General features: G+C 40.9%; 1 protein-coding gene and 1 long non-coding RNA gene across 12 annotated transcripts in view, besides 1 other annotated feature; one reads left to right on the top strand and one right to left on the bottom strand.

The window, feature by feature from the left end:
* Positions 5,394 to 5,969: an enhancer, noted in NCBI's record as "NANOG hESC enhancer chr13:31557478-31558053 (GRCh37/hg19 assembly coordinates)". NCBI's record gives its function as "activates a minimal SCP1, AML or CMV promoter by ChIP-STARR-seq in naive H9 embryonic stem cells {active_cell/tissue: H9 hESC(naive)}" and the evidence as "EXISTENCE:reporter gene assay evidence [ECO:0000049][PMID:30033119]".
* Positions 11,670 to 16,027, top strand: TEX26-AS2 (TEX26 antisense RNA 2). Its single transcript, XR_941820.3, has 3 exons — positions 11,670 to 11,750; positions 14,423 to 14,502; positions 15,829 to 16,027. It is a non-coding gene; the product is annotated as a TEX26 antisense RNA 2 (long non-coding RNA).
* TEX26 (testis expressed 26) overlaps positions 13,810 to 17,165 on the bottom strand; it is a 42,845-nt gene continuing 39,489 nt past the window's right edge. For all 11 annotated transcript variants that reach the window (XR_001749479.3, NR_148425.2, XM_047430094.1 and 8 more), the window contains one exon: positions 13,810 to 14,464. Coding sequence is in view for 9 of the 11 variants with exons in the window: in XM_047430094.1 (XP_047286050.1) it covers positions 14,403 to 14,464 (62 nt within the window). In the remaining 2 variants the exon portion in view is untranslated. The remainder of the gene's footprint in view (positions 14,465 to 17,165) is intronic.

The raw sequence follows: 17,165 nt of genomic DNA, 5'->3' as shown, positions 1-17,165 counted from the left end.
AGTATAGCAATTTTATAATACATTTTAATATTTGTTAGGGAAGTTTTCTCCTAATTACTCATCTTACTTATCAAAAATTTCCTGGTTATTCTTGATATTGTTCTTTCCCAAATGCGCTTTATAATTTTTTGTCAAGTTACCTGCACGCACACACAACACTCATAAAAAAATACTGTTCGAAATTCTACTGGTGTTAACTTTATGTCAATTTAGGAAGAAGTGGCATTTTTACAATGTTGAATCTTCTTTTATTTATTTATTTATTTATTTATTTTTTAAGATGGAGTCTCGCTCTGTTGCCCAGGCTGGAGTGCAGTGGCGCAATCTTGGTTCACTGCCAGCTCCACCTCCCGGGTTCACGCCATTCTCCTGCCTCAGCCTCCCGAGTATCTGGGACTACAGGCGCCCGCCACCACGCCCGGCTAATTTTTTTGTATTTTTAGTAGAGACGGGGTTTCACCGTGTTAGCCAGGATGGTCTCGATCTCCTGACCTCGTAATCCGCCTGCCTTGGCCTCCCAAAGTGCTGGGATTACAGGCGTGAGCCAACGTGCCCGGCCTGAATCTTCTTTTATAAGACTGCACTGGCTCTTCATTTACCGAAGCCTTACTTTATGTCCTTCAGTAGGTTTCATGGGTTTTCATCATATGACTCCAATACAATTCCAATTACGTGTTATCCAAAGTATTTTATGGGGGTTTATAGTTACCATGAAATAATAAACATTAGACTAATTAAAAAAGATTAGTTAGTAGCTGATTACTCATTGACCAGTTATATCCATAAACTAATTATAAACAGCAAATAAGAAAAGACTTGTGATGTAAGATTTACACCTTTAATTTGGCTAAACAGGTCTAGAAAATCCCCTGAACCCCAAACTGGCACAAATTGGTACATGGCAAGACCCTGGGAGCAGAGATCACATAGGGATCCTATCCAAGATGTGTTTTGACTTGCATATTTAAAAAATTTGAATTAGTTGGAAACTGTTAAAAGACAGAAAATTTCAAATAAAAACCCTATTCCTGACTTTTGATTTCTGTTCAGGAATCTAGAAAGTCAGAAACGGTGTATTTCCCACCCTAATGAGGTAACAGCAATAGAAAATCGGACAAACTGCAAGTTCATAACTTTTCTTATGCCCATCAGAGAGCTGACGACACAGGGCAACCAAAACTCAGGAGACACAGGTATCTGCAGGGAGAGATGGGACACTATCATTTGCTTACCTGAGCCAGAAGTGGCCGGACACCAGAAAGAAGAATTCCGTGAGAATACTTACTAACTTGATATAGGCTGAGAGGATGGGCCGGCAAGAGAGTGTGGTGCTTGACGGGGCTGCAAACGTAGGGGAGTTCACACCCTCTTGTAGACTTTTCTCCATGTACCCCACCAAGGACTCACAAAAGGGAGTGGTGAACCTTGGGAGAAAACATCCTTCTTGGTACAAGCCTTGAAGACAGCAGCTAATTCAGGAGAAGCTTGAAATCTTAACCAGGCCTCTCCCTTAACTCCCCTATGGAACAAAGCCTTCATCTGCAAGAGGATTGGGGAAAACTCACTGCTGCTGGGGGAAGGGAACAGAAAACATCCTCTATTCATGGGGGAGGGACAGGAATAAGTGCTGGGGGAAAGGAAAGAGCCCTGAGAAGGCCATGCCCTGAGACCCAGGGACACAGTGCCTGCTTAAGAATAAGGCTTAACCAAAACAACAGAGAACACCCCCACCACAAGTCAAACAAGCATTGAGGAATCAGTAACAGTAGAACACAGTGTTCTACTGTTCCCCAGGAAAATAAGAGAGAGGCCTGGGCCAGGCACTGTGGCCCGTAATCCCAGCACTTTGGGAGGCCGAGGTGGGCGGATCACCTGAGGTCAGGAGTTTGAGACCAGCCTGGCCAACTTGGTGAAACCCCATCTCTACTAAAAATACAAAAATTAGCTGGACATGGTGGCAGGTGCCTGTAATCCCAGGTACTCAGGAGGTTGAGGCAGGAGAATCACTTGAACCCAGGAGGTGGAGGCTGCAGTGAGCCGAGATCATGCCATTGTACTCAGTCTCTGTGACAGAATGAGACTCTGCCTCAAAAAAAAAAACAAAAAACAAAAAAAAAACACAAAGAACATTTTCAGAGATAAAGAGGGATAGTATATCATGAAAAAGGGATCAATTCACCAAGAAGACATAACAGTGTGTTTGCAGCTAATAACAAAACTTCAAAATACATTACCGAAAACTGGTAGGACTGAAAATAAAAAGATAAATCTGCAATTATAGTTGGAGACTTCAGCACTCTTCTCTCAGTAATTGACAAATACACAGAAAATCAGTAAAGATACAGAAGATTTAAACTACACCATCAACAAACTTGACATAATTGACATTAATAGAATACCGAAAAGCACATACACATTGTTCTCAAGTGCACATGGACCATTCACCAAGGAAGAATATATTCTGGGCCATCAAACAAACCTTAACAAATGTAAAAGAATAGAAATCATACCAAGTATGTTTTCAGACCACAGCAGAATTAAACTGGGCTTTAATAATAGAAATATGTCTGGGAGGATCCCAAATATTTGGAAATTTAATTTCTAAGTAGCCCATAGTTCAAAGAGTAAATCTCAAAGAAAATTTAAAAGCATATTAAATTGAATGAAAACAAAAATACAAATAAAGCAAAATTCATTGAATGTAGCTAAAGCAGTGCATGGGGGAAATATATTGGACTATAGCATTAAGCATAGAAAACATATTAGACTATAGCATTAAGTAGTAGGAAAAACAAAAATTCTCAGTCACCTAAGCTTTTAGGTTAAGAAACTAGAGGGGAAAAAACACCTAGACCCTAAGCAAGAAGAAAGAAAGAAATAATAAAGATGAGTACAGAAGTTAAGGATATTGAAAAATAAAAAACAATAGAAAAAAATCTATGAAACCAAAAGTTGTTTCTTTGAAAAGATCAACAAAATTGATAAACCTCTAGCTAAGCTAATGAAGAAAAAAAGAAAGAAGACAAAAATTACCTGTATTTGAAATGAAACGGGGGCCATGACTATGAAACCCACGTACACTGAGAAAAAGGGAATGCTATGAACAATTTTATGTCCATAAATTTGACAATTTAGATAAACTGGGCAAATTCCTTGGAAGAAACAAACTACCAAGCTCATTCGAGAAGTGGGTAACAAGAATAGTTTGGATAATATCTATCAAGAAATTGAGCTGAGCATGGTGACTCATGCCTGTAATCCCAGTGCTTTTGGCCTTAAGCAATTCTGCCACTAAGGGGATTCTTCCCAGGAATGCAAGGCTGATTCAACAATTAAAAGTCAACCAAAGAACCCTCATATTAATGGACTAAGGAAGAAAAGCCGCATGATCATCTTAATAGGTTCAAAAAAAGCATTTAACAATATTCAACATCCATTCATGATTAAACAAAACAAAACTCTTGGCGAACTAGGAAGAGAAAGGAATATCCTTCACCTGATAAATCTTTGTGACACTGGCTTAGTTTTTACTGGATAAAAGACACTGTTAAGATAATAAATAGAAAAGCCACAGATTTGGAGAAAATAATTACCAGTCATATTTCTGTCCAACAACTTGTATTCAAATATGTATATATATTATCCCCAAATTCAACAATAAGAATACAAACAATCCATTTTTTTAATGAGCAAAAGATCTGAATAAACACTTCCCCCCAATATGTATACAGCTGGTAAATAAGCACATGAAAAGTTTCTCAATATCATTTTCATTAGGGAAATGCACCGTAAAACTATGATGTAATAGAATAGTAACAAACAAACAGAAATGTGAAAATAAGTAATTCAAAATCAAAGCTATTGGAACTTTATTTGGGGCCTTAAAGGAATGTGATTATGGGACATGAGTCGTATAAAAGGCAGCTATAGCCTAGGCATCTGTAACCTTTGTTTCTCTGATTATAGATTACCCTTTTCTTTACCTGCATTGTTTTATAAAATGTTATAAAGACTAAAGGGAACCAGAGAAGAATCCCTTCCCTCTTAACTATTGATCTTTGTTATAGATTAACTTTCCTTTTTCTTCTTTTACACAAATAGCATCATGTTGTCAAAAATGGAATGTTAAATATACTCTTTTAAATTGAGAAAGAAAACAATCCATACCTAATCAAATTTCTATAACTCATAAACCAGCTTTGTGTGGAAAATGTTGTAATCCTGTTAAACTTCCCTGTTTTCTGCCTATATAAGTAAGACCTTAACTTTTCAGCTTCAGAGCACTTGACCCCATCCCTTTGGAGTCTGTGTTTTCAAGGTGGCCATCCTCAGTTTTGTTCTTAAATAAACTCTCTTAAACTGGATTTTGATTCTATAGATTATTACAGGTTGACAGAATATAAAAATTAACTGTTCCAATTGCTAATAACAGATGTGGAGCCATCGTAACTCTCATACGTTGCTGGTGAAATGCAAACTGGTACAGTCATTCTGAAAATGGTTTGGCAGTTTCTTATAAAGTTAAACATGCATATGACACAGCAATCCCACTCCCAGGTATTTATTTACTGAAGAGAAATGAAAAGTTGTATTCACAAGAAAACCTAAACCTGAGCCAGGCACAGTGGCTCAATCCTGTAATCCCAGCACTTCGGGAGACCGAGGCAGGTGGATCACCTGAGGTCAGGAGTTTGAGACCAGCCTCGCCAACATGGTAAAACCTTGTCTCTCTTAAAAATACAAATAGATTAGCTGAGCATGATGGCGGGTGCCTGTAATCCCAGCTACTTGGGAGGTTGACAGAGGAGAATCACTTGAACCTGGGAGGTGAAGGTTGCAGTGAGCCAAGATTGCACCACTGCACTCCAGCCTGGGTGACAGAGCAAGACTGTTTCAAAAAAACAGAAAAGAAAAAAAGAAAAAAGAAAAGAAAACCTTAACCTGAATGCTTATAGCAGCTTTATACGCAAATGCCAAAACCTGGAGACAACCCAGATGTTCTTCAACCAGTGAACAGATAAATAAACTGGTACATCCATACTCAGCCATAAAAAGCAACACGTTACTACAGATTACTCAACAACAAGAACAAGAACAACAACAAAATTCATTTTGATAAATCGAAGATACAGAAGGTTATATATTATATTATTCCATTTATATGACATTCTAGAAAAAGCAAAATGATAGGGATGAAAACCAAACCTGTCATTGCCAGTGGCTAGGGAGGTGGGGCTGTGTACAGGGGAACAGCCAGAGGAATTTTAGATGGAATTTTACTTTCCCATATAATGATTGGGGTGATAGATACAGTGCTCTATGCATTTGTCAAAATCTGTAACACTTTACACCAGAAAGAGTGACAATAAAAATTGTAAATACATTTAAAAAACATATTTTTTGCTTTTCCTGAAATCCTCTATGACTAACACATACTAACAGGGCAACAATTAGCCAGAGATAATGTAAGCAAACCCACATCCAGCAGCTCGCCAAACACAAGGGACAAAAATTGGTGGGAGGAAAAGCAGGTTTATTGGAGAGCCAGAAAACCGAGAAGATGCTGAACTATTGTCCTAAAGCACCACCTTAAGCCAATACAAATTGTAGGTACTTTTCATGTTAAGCGCAGGGGAAAGAGGAGGGAATTGAGATCAAGAGCTAACCAGTAACCACAGACAATTGGGTGCCAGCAAGGGTCTGGGGAGGTTGGGAATGCCTTTGTCCTTGGTCAGGCCTTAATGGTCCTATACATCTTTAACAAAACATAGTTGTTTAAATATGTGTCCTTTAATCCTAAAGTGTTTTTTAAACTACACGATTGTTGTTTTTGCCTATTAGTGCTCTAAAATTATCTTAGCCTATGAGCAGGAATGGGTAAAGGCCCCTTAAACAAAAATGGAGTAAAGTAGTTTTTTTGTTGTTGTTGCTACGATAACTCAGCAGCCCTTTTAAACATAGTGGGCACTCTTCATTTCACCAGTCACTCTCCCTATGGTCTCACTCCTGGCCCGCTTCCCTCATTTAGGTTACCTGCCAGGCCTCCTGTGATACTGTGACTTATAATAAGAAATACCTATTTTGGTCTTTGTCCAGTTTCCTGGCAGGCAACTCCTAGAATGTTTCAAAGTGATAAGTGATGCGTCTTTTTGTATGTGAATGAGATGTCTGAGATGACTGCCGGGGAAGGAGGGAGGCTTCAGGATAGACTCCACATGCAGGCTGGTTGCCAGGGGAACCAATCTTGATTAGAGAGTTGAGACTTTCAACTCCACCCCCCAATCAGGGAGAAGAACTGAAGTTTGAATTAATCACCAATGACAAATGATGTAATCAATTATGCACATGTAATGAAGTTTCCATAAAACTCAAAAGGACATGCTTTGGAGAGCTTTCAGGTTGCTGAACATTGGAGATGCCTGGAGGGTGATGTGCCTGAAGAAGGCCTGGCAGCAACTTGTACTTTCCCCCATACTGTGCCTTATGTAGTTCTTCATCTGGCTCGTCGTGTTCATCTTTTGTAATACCCTTTATAATAAACTGGCATATGTGAGTGAAGTGTTTCTCTGAGTTCTGTGAGCTGTTCTAGCAAATGATCAAACTCAAGAAGGCAGTCATGGGAACTTTCAATTTGTAGCCAAGTCAGGCAGAAGCTGTGAGTAACTTCGGGACTTACTACTTCCTGTTGGCATCTGCAATGGGGGGCAGTCTTGTGGGACTGACTGGAATCACCCAGTAGGTTCATTTTGTCTGCTGCCTAGATAGACCCAATTTATCAAGACAAGGAAACTGCAATAGAGAAAGAGTTTAATTCTTACAGAACCAGATGAACGGGAGACCATAGATTTATTTTTACACAGATTAGTCTATCCAAAAATTCGAAGACTAGGTTTTTTCAAGGATAGTTTGGCGGGTAGGGGGCCAGGGAGTGGGGAATGCTGATTGGTTGGGTCAAAGATGAAATCATAGGGAATTGACGCTGTCCCCTTGCGATGAGTCAGTTCCTGGGTGGGGGTCACAGGACCAAACAGTGAGTCTGGGTAGAGCCATCGGTCATCAGAAATCCAAAAACCTGAAAAGACATCCCAAATCTTAGGCTCTACAATAGTGATGTTATCTGCAGGAGTAACGGGGAAGTTGCATTTCTTGAGGCTAATTTGTTAGTCCTACAAAGGCAGTCAAGTCCCCAGGCAAGAAGGGGTTTGTTTTGAGAAAGGGCTGTTACCATCTTTGTTCCAAAGTTAAACTATAAACTAAGTTCCTCCCAAAGTTAGTTCAGACTATGCCCAGCAATGAACAAGGGCAGCTGGAAGGTTAGACACAAGATGGAGTTGGTTAGGTCAGATCCCTTTCACTGTTACAGATTTCTCACTGTTATAATTTTTGCAAAGATGGTTTTGTGAGTCCTCATCCTGCCAGATCTGCGCCAACTCCAGGTAGTGTCACAGTTGAATTGAACTGTGAGCTAGGAGGACACCTACCTGGTGCTGGAGAACTATTCGGTCAGGGAAAAAACTCCACTCATGTGGTCACAGTAGTGCTCTGCGTTGCGTGAGAGTAGTAGGAGAGTATAGAAAGAGAAAAATATCTTGCTTTCTTGCCTATGCACCCCTGTAGGCATTTCAGTTTGAAACTCTTGCTTTTGAAAATAGCCTAATCATAGTGGCTGTACATCCATAAAAACCTGGGCCTTTACCTTGATCCAGAAACCCTTTCCTGACCCTTCAGGCCGGGTTAGGCAAGCTCTTAGAAATCTCGTAGCATTCTGCACATGGCTCTTTTAGGATGTTACTGAGATTTCCTTCTGTATTTGTTAGAACCCTGTTGATTACGAGTGGCAGAAATCTAGCTCAATCCAGCTGTAGTCAAATCAAGAAATGAATTGTTCATGGGGCATGGATGGAGATGGTTTCAAGGGTAGACACTCCAATCTCATCAGGATTCTTCCGTTCCTCATACATCCTCTCTCAGGTCTCCATTCTCTGGGGCTGGTTGCTGTTGTGGGACCGGGAAGAAGACCACGGGCAACTCTGGAAACATCTTCTTACAGCCTCATAGCAACAGAGGAAAGAGTGCTCTGCCCAGTCCCCATGGAAGAAAATCCTGGGCCAAACCCCAACCATGGCCAGAGAGGAGAGGTACCACATTCAGATGGTACCTGGCCCGGGCAGGGCACAGAGAGCCTTCAGCTGACATCAGAATCACATGGCTGGATTGGGGTGGGAGAGTACCCCCCAAAGTGAGGCATGCTGCTCTGGGCTGGCAAAATTGTAAATTTCATTACATTTGCCAATTTGTATTTTTTGCTAGACTCTTAGACCTTTAGGAATAGAATAGATTACTGTGTCTTTCATTTCTGTATCTAGTACAGCAGGGTGTCTGGTATGAAAGACTTTAAAAATATTTAAAAATAAATGTTAAATGAAGGATAAAGTTTAAATTGTCATAGTCATATGCCTTGAATTTTCTGGAATAGTCCCAATTTCATGATATGTCTATGATATCTTTTTTATTAAGATAATTCTTTAAATGAATAATTTCCTTATTTTATAAAACTTTTTATAAAATTACATTCAAAAATTTATTCAGTACTTGGCCATACCCTCCGCTTGTGGTTTTCATTCAGCAAGGCTGGCCAATTGTGTTGGTTATATTTTATTTGGCTTCCAAATTCCCTTTAATCGCCTTTTCTGGCCTGGCTGGTGCCACAGGAGGTTAACTCTTTGGACTGCATCTCCATCAATACCTTGCTGGTAAGCATCCATTGGGCTTGTCAGTGAGAGCCATTGCCAGGAGATCAGATTATATGAGAGGGAAGGAGAAGCAAGGCTGGAGGAATTTTTCCCTTCTTGTTCCCTGTGTCATGTCCCCCAAAATGGCTCTGTCCCTTCCAGGGGACAGCAGCTCCCTGACAGCCCAGGCTCTCACAGGGAGAGGTGGTAACAGCTTTCTTCTCTCTCAAGTCTCTGGGAGCCTTACCCCACGTTTATGTCCTCAGTAAGTAGTCCCTTTACTTAAGCCCCATCATCTGAAACAAATGGGGTGGATTCTGCTTCCTGCTTAGACCTTGACTAAACTACCAACTTAACCTTCTCAGGTGCAATTTACCAATTAGATCCCCCCTCTAGTTTAGTGGTTCTCACTCTTTGCTGTGCACAGGGATCACCTTAGCACCTGTGATCCGTCCCCAGAAGTTCTGATGTAATTGGACTGGAAAGTAGCCTCGGGATCAGGATTTTAAAAATCTCTCCAGGACATTTGATTGGGTAGCCAAGGCTGATAAGCCCTGCTCCAGACTCATATACCTCCTGTACAGAAAGGAGAATTCTAACACGTAGTGAAAACAACTTCCTATAACCTGCGTTTTATTTCTTACTTTCTTACAAATTATTGCAGCCTTCATTCTAAAGGGATGTTGTTTTCTACTTATTCACAAAAGCTTTTTAAAACAAAGTGGAACAATTTTAAACACATTTACATAACTGTTTCTTCAAGAGGTTCAAAACAAAGAACAGATATTTCTAGAAAGCATAGAAATCCACTATATACACTTTTATTTTGAATAAGGTGTGTGCAAGGGTGATGGCAGTGGCTGCTGCCATCATGCCAGCTGCAGCAGGGAAGCGCAGCTGGGGCTGTACACTCCCTGGAGCCAGGGGGAACCCTGCCCATTCTGAGTTGGGACAGGACCTCCCCATGTGGCTACAGCCACCCAAACCACAGCTGCAGACCCAGGCCTCCTGCTCTAGGGAGCAGGAAGGAGCGCCCCCTACTGGGTGAGGCTACAGCAGCCCAAAATGCAGCTGTGGATCGGAGCCTTCCTGTGCTCTTGGGAGAAACGGGAACAGGCAGGATCTGCCTTCCGAGGTGCAGTTGCAGCTGCCTCATTCGCGGCTGCAGACCTGGGCCTCCTGCTCCAGGAAGCAGGCAGAAGCTGGGGACAAGTGGGAGTCCTGCCTCTTCTGAGTTGGTGGGGCGGGAGCTCCTGGGTGCAGCTGCACTGCCCTCCCAGGCACAGGACCTGGGCATCTCTGTAGCCTACACCCTCGAGTGCCCCAGGAAGGACCCCTGTCCCTGCAGGCTTAGGGGTGTCTGCTCCCAGTGCCTGGCCTCTCCTCCCAAGGCCCGCTCCAATCTCCCAGCGGGGTTGGGGGCCAAGTCCCAGCGGGAGGCTGACAGAATCCTGGGTAGAAGGAAGAGGGTCCCCAGTAAGGGCCCACCCTCAGGCCAGGGAGAGCCTGAAGACTAGGGGCTGGGCTGCCAGTCCCGTGAACTGGAGTAGGGACTCATGGGCCTGGAAGAGTCCAGGCCCACCCATGGCCGCCCATGGACCAACTGGCATACATTTCCTTCCTTCTGAGGTCCATAAAAGCCCTGGGCTCAACCAGAGCAGGGCAGAAGATGGCCAGAAGACAAAGAGAGCAGAGAGATGATGGGACTGGATGACCAGCTGCAGAGAAGAGTACCCTGTCCACTGAGAGCCTCAGAGATGACCTGCCAGCAGAAGGGAGCTACCCACTCCTCTGAGTTGCTCTAACACTAAATAAAACTCTTCTTCACTCTTCACTTGTGTACCTCACTCTTCCTGGATGCAGGACAAGAATTTGGGCAAAGGTGCTGTGGCCACAGGGGTTCCCGGCAAGAAAAAAATCAACACCCCAGAAATCGCCTACCAAGGGTAAGTTTTTCAGGAAAGAAAAAAGAGAATTAAAGAGCCATCGGGGGATATCACAAGAAAAAAAAAATGGCAGGATTAGTAACTGTTGAAAAACTACTATCTTACAAATATAATAATAGAGATTCTAGTGCCATGTAATTAACTCATGCCAGGTCCATGACTGATCTGGGTTTGCCGATCTTCTCTGAGAATGAACCAGGTTAAAGCACTCACAGCTTCTAGCACATTAAAATAAGCAGTGGCTACTGGCCTCATGAGAATCTTTAAAGTGTTCAATGTTTAAAACACCCTTGCCATTTTTAAGATACAAGAGAACCTCAACCACACTCTTACTTTAAAATGCAATTGCTTTTTTTTTTTTTTTTTTTTTTTTTTTGAGACGGAGTCTCGCTCTGTCGCCCAGGCCGGACTGCGGACTGCAGTGGCGCAATCTCGGCTCACTGCAAGCTCCGCTTCCCGGGTGCAATTGCTTTTTAAACACACATTTGTTGACGGTGGTAGAATTTAATATTTTTGAGAAAGAACTGATTCTACAAAGCTTTTTCTCATTTTGAGGGTCCCAGGAATGTTGCATCTAAATAAATGCTGTGCCTGTACCAGTCAGCTATTGCTACATTGGCCTCTGGCATGCAGCAAAGAGCATTTATTTCTCATTCACAGTTTGTGAGTCATTGGGGCAGGTCAGCTGGGGTGACTCATTTTTCTCCTGGGACCAGTGAGCAGCCCAGGTTTATTTCTTCTAACAACCCATTAGCCAAAGAAAGCCACATGGCTGTGCTCACATACAAGGTCAGGGGAAATACATTCCATCTTTAGTGGGAGGCACTGCAAGGTTACATGGCCAGGGGTGTGGATACAGAGAGAGATGAAGAATTGGGGCCAATAATTCACTTTACCACCGTCCCTAAAGCAAAAGTCTGTCGAAGATGACATCTCAATACTGTATTTACAAGTAGAACATCTTGCTCTAGAGTGATGTCACTGACAAGTTCTAGAACCCTGTAGGTAAGAGGACTTTTTGTGTCCAGACAGATGGCAATACTCATCCGTATGTTGTCTGCCCCAGGGCAAGGTAGGTGATGCTGGCTTTTCTTAGCTACCCTACCTCCAGAATACCAAAATGATCTCCAAAGAAGTAATCAGGGTTTGAGGGGAGGAGGAGAGCATTGAACAGGTGGTGCATAGAGAATTTTTGGGGCAGTGAAACTATCCTGTGTGATACTGTAATTGTGGATACATGGCACTATGCTTTTGTCATAACCCATAGAACTTTATAGCACAAAGAGTGAACCTCAATGTATGTGAATTTTTAAAAAATCATTTGGGAGGTCAGGGATACCATTTGGGATGCCCAAGGTGTAGAGATACATTAAAAACTTAAGATGCATGCACAGACACGTCTGCAGTCGTGAAAAACTCAAGTCCTACACAAAACTTTGCTACCAAAATTTGAAGAAGAAGAAGACGAATAGTATAAAAACAACATTCATGGGTGATCCACAACTTGAATCAATAGAAATTTATTGACTGTTGTGAAATAAAGTTACATAGAATACAAGAGTCTATGCTAACAGAAATACAATGGCACTCACACCATGATCCGACTCTTGCTTCCTTGATCTCTTTTTGCGTGACTTTTCCCTGTCCCCGGCCAACTCACTATGTATGTGTCAACCACTCCACCTTCTTCCAGTTCCTAGAACACCAAAATCATTCCTATCTTGAGGCCCTTGCCTTGCTGTTCTCTAAGCCTGGAAAGGTCTTGTCCCATCTCTCCATGTGGCTGGCTCCTTCTCCTCTTGAAGTTTCATTTCAAATAGGAGCCTCTTGGTGCCTCCCTCTAGAATCGAAGCTCCATTACTGTCTTTCACTAGTGCATTATCCCCATCCCCTAAAGCCCTGCTTGGCACGTAGGAGGTGCTCAATAAATATTTGTGGACCAAAGGGGCTACTCATTTATTAATATTTGGCTCAAGGCCCTGATGGAGTATGGACCTCTGCTTTGGAATGGATGCTGTGAGGACAGTCAGGAAGTCCCACACTGCACACACTAAACCAAGAGAGAGTCCACGTAAAGCTCCTGGGTGGCCACTGCAACAGTCTTAAGCACTCTAAGAAAGGCATAAAAGCAGATTAATGCTCAAGTATTGACCCACATCTGCAAAGGACGTTGGGGCAGGGAGACGCTTAGCTGATAAATAGAAAACTACCCCTGTCTAAAGCAGGGATGGTTGGGATATGACTGCCTTGATGCAAAACAGGAGCAGGAAATAGGACAGGCCCAAACAAGGGCTCAAAAAAGAAAGAAAGAAAGAAAGAAAGCCAAAGCGGCAATAACAACAACAAACTCTTGCTGCTGGTGGGAAACCTACAGGGCAAGCTCCTTCTCCACATGAGCCCTGCTGGCAGTTGTTTGTATGTGTGTGTGTGTGTGTGTGCATGCACACGCGTAAGAGCACATGCAGGGGATGTAGTGAAAAGCACAGTGTGAAATGAGGAAATAAAGGATATCTTCTCAGTCAGTAGCCATGGGAAGAACCGGGAAGTACAAGGTCCTGAGAGCACAGAGATGATGGAATTTTTATATATTGGGAGAGGAACCCAAATCTAGTAATGACAATGTGTGATAAAAACTACTAGTATGATGAAAAACAGTATATTTCCAAAACTAACATTAGAGGGGAAAATGAAGAAAATCAGTAAAACTAAAAAGAACAAACAGCAAATAGCAAGCAAAAAAAATGATATAGAAAACAAAACCCAGTATGTGAAGCATCACAGTTGCTCTGTACTAAGTTTTTGAAGACAAAGACTGACACATTAGTTATGAAATAAAAGATAGGCATAATTTATTTCTAGAAGCAAAGTTACAAAGACAGATTGGAAATGAAAGCAAGGACATACTGAGCAAATGCAAAGGTAAAACCAAAATCAAATCAGCACCAATAGCAACATTAATATCAATTAAAATGCAATTTAAAGCCAAAAAGCATTAACCAGCCAAAGATGAATAATATATAATGGGCAATGTTAATCAATGAAGAAGCTCTGTGTAATTCATAAACCCTAATAGAATACAAAATATAACAGCCACATATATGAAGCAAAAACCCCAGAAATACAAGGGAAAATTGATAAAAATATATTTATTGTGGGAGGTTCCAATATTCTTTCAGAATTGAACAATTCAAGTATACAATTAAAGATATAAGGGATTAAAAAATACAATAAACTATAATTTTTTTCTCATATTCACGTAACACACAAATTAATCATATACTTGATTAATGGCATTAAATAAAACTGCAATTGATTTCCCAAAAGCAGATTTTTAAACTTTCATTCATTCAAAGAAGAGATAAGGCAATAAAATGATTTCTTAAGTCTCTGATTAATGGGACATTAAGAAATCTCTTCCACATAATTCCTAGTTCACAGGAGAAATCAAAATTGAAACTACAAATTAAGTATCCAAAAGGGAAAAGAAAAAAACATTGTATCAAAAACTATTGGATACAGCTAAAGCTATGTTCAGGGAAAATTTTGTAGCCTTAATTTTATTGTTTAAAAATAAAGCGGAGCAAAAGACACAAATTCATGACTATCACATCATACTTGAAGCTATTTGCATCTTATTTTTCCTTGATAATTGAGAAAATGACTAGGAATGTCCTCGTGCTTCCATTGATTTTCAGATTTTCTTCATTTGTACTATTTTCCCTTTTCATTTCTTCTTTTTGTTAGTGTCACAGTGAGTACGAATAAAGCGATCAATAATTTGTCTATCTGAAAAGTATGAAGAAAAACAGGATGAAAATTTTCACGTAAGTATTTAAATGATAAATTGGGAAATTCTATGAAGGAAGAAAATATCTGATAATATTACTAAATACACAAATTTGGTAAGACCAAAATAATAGCAGGCTATTATACCTAATACCTAAACAGGCACAGTTGTGTAATTATTGATTAAGAAGAGTAAACTTAATACTCAAGGGATTAGCAAACTTACTGGACAGAACACGAATTTCAGAATGAAACAGGCTTAAGTTTTAGTTCTGTGCTGGCAGTTGTTAGCAAATGATTTAACCTCTCCACTTCCTCAGTTCCTCATCTTTGAATACAGGCAGCAGGACTTGCTGTGCACAGACGTTGGAATAGATTAGGGACACTGTGTGTGAAGCACCCAGACAGTGCCTGGCCCATCAAAAACAATAAATGGTTGTCTTATCCTTTTGTTACTGGGTGCATAGTAATAAACAGTGATGATAATAGAAATTATTGTTCCAAAATTTTCATAGAAGCCAGGGCTGTTTTTTTACTCACCGATACTGGTAAGGTTTACTAGTCCTTGAATGGTAACTGTTTGACCTTGGGAAGGCCCTTCAACTCCCCCTCCCTGGCCTCCATTTCCTGATCTGTAACATTAAGGAGTCTTGTCTGGTTCTGAACATCTATGATTCCTTACTCCTAATTATATATATATATATATATATATATTTTTTTTTTTTTAGATGGAGGCTCACTCTATTGCCCAGGCTGGAGGGCAGTGGTGCGATCTCGGCTCACTGCAACCTCTGCCTCCCAGGTTCAAGCAATTCTCCTCCCTCAGCCTCCTGAGTAGCTGGGATTACAGGCATGAACCACCATGCCCAGCTAATTTTTGTACTTTTAGTATAATCCCAGACTCCTGACCTCAAGTGATCCACCCGCCTCGGCTTCCCAAAGTGCTGGGATTACAGGCAGAAGCCACCGCACCCAGCCTCTAATCATGTATATCTTTAATAGTACAGAGTGGAGCTGTAAAACTTTATTCACTCCCAGCAGTTATCACCTGTGCAGCCAAAACCAAAAAGGAGTGAAAATGCAAGTGATGTCATGCTCATATTCAATGTTCATGTTATCCTGCTCAATGTCACAAATGCCAGTGGAGGCCCATAGATCAGGGATGTCTGTGTGTGCGTTTGTGTGTGTGCATGAGTGTGTGTGTTTATTCCTGTTTTCTCTCCAATTATGTCTTCATTTATTTGTTTTTGTGATTTCATGTTTAATTTTGAAGCATCCCTACCCTACTCCATACCTTGTCTCCAGTATTTTTTTAGTTGGGTATACTTTTCATAAAGTGAAATTCACTAATCTTTTGTGTACAGTTTGATGAAGTGACACATGCATTACTGTAACCCACGACCACAGGATGATATAGATCATTCCTTCCATCCCAGAAGACCCTTCATGCACCTTCCCAGTCAACACTCCCTACTTCAAGACAGCCACTGTTCTGGTTTCTTTCATCAAAGATAAGTTTTCCCAGTTGTAGACCTTCAAATAAATGAAATCATACAGAAGGTATTCTTTTGTGTCTGGCTTCTTTCATTCAGCACGTTTTTGAGGTTCATATGTTTTGCTCTATATATCAATAACTAATTTCTTTTTATTGAGTGGTATTTCATTATATGAATATATCACAGTTTGTTTATCTATTTTCCTGCTGATGGAGATTTGGGTTGCATCCAGTTTGAGGCTATTAAGAATAAAGTGGTTATAAACATTCTTGTACATGTCCTTTTGTGGATATATGGTTTTCTTTCTCTCAGGCAAATACCCAGAAGTGGAATTTCTGGGTCATGGAGTAGTTATATGTTTATCTTTAGCAGAAGCTGCCAGACCTGTTTCCAAAGTGATTGTACTCTTTGATGGCTGGGCACAGTGGCTCATGCCTGTAATTCCAGCACTTTGGAAGGCCAAGGCAGGTGGATCACTTGAGGCCAGGAGTTTGAGACCAGCCTGGCCAACATGGCCAAACCCTGCCTCTACTAAAAATACAAAAAAATTAGCTGGGCGTGGTGGTGCACACCTGTAATCCCAGCTGCTTGGGAAGCTGAGGCATGAGAATTGCTTGAATCCTCAAGGCAGACGTTGCAGTGAGCCAATATCACGCCACTGCGCTCCAGCCTGGGTGACAGAGGGAGATTCTGTCTCAAAAACAAAAACAAAACAAAACACAAAACAACAACAAAGTGATTGTATTATTTACTCTTTAATATTCCCACCAATGCTCTGTGGGGTTCTGACTGCTTCCTCTCATTGATATTTGCTATTGTCAGTCTTTCTGATTTTAAGCATTTTAAGCATTGTCTATTACCAAAGAATTTATAGCAAAGAATTTATATTAAAATAAGAAAAAAATCCTTTCTTCTGATACCAGAGGTATACATACATGGTTCACCAAGTTTTGCATGAATTAGTAAAAACGATGAGTGTGTAAAATTTTAATGTCAATTTGAGTGTTCAAAAAGGCTACCAGTTGTAAGTCAAATGATACCAATCTTTATTATGTATAAATGCAAATTCATTTCCTCGTGATTTTGTTTACACTGTTGCTTCTGCCAGGAATGGTCCTGCTTCTCCTTACTGCACAGATTCATCTTTAAGACTTATAGGACCCCTCCTCCAGGCAGGCTTTCCTCATCTCCTGTCCATCCATAGG

The sequence above is a fragment of the Homo sapiens genome, chromosome 13 (assembly GCF_000001405.40).
Source record: "Homo sapiens chromosome 13, GRCh38.p14 Primary Assembly".
Lineage (NCBI taxonomy): Eukaryota > Metazoa > Chordata > Mammalia > Primates > Hominidae > Homo > Homo sapiens.
Note: the sequence above shows the minus strand (reverse complement) of the source record. Positions and strands in the feature narration are given on the sequence as shown.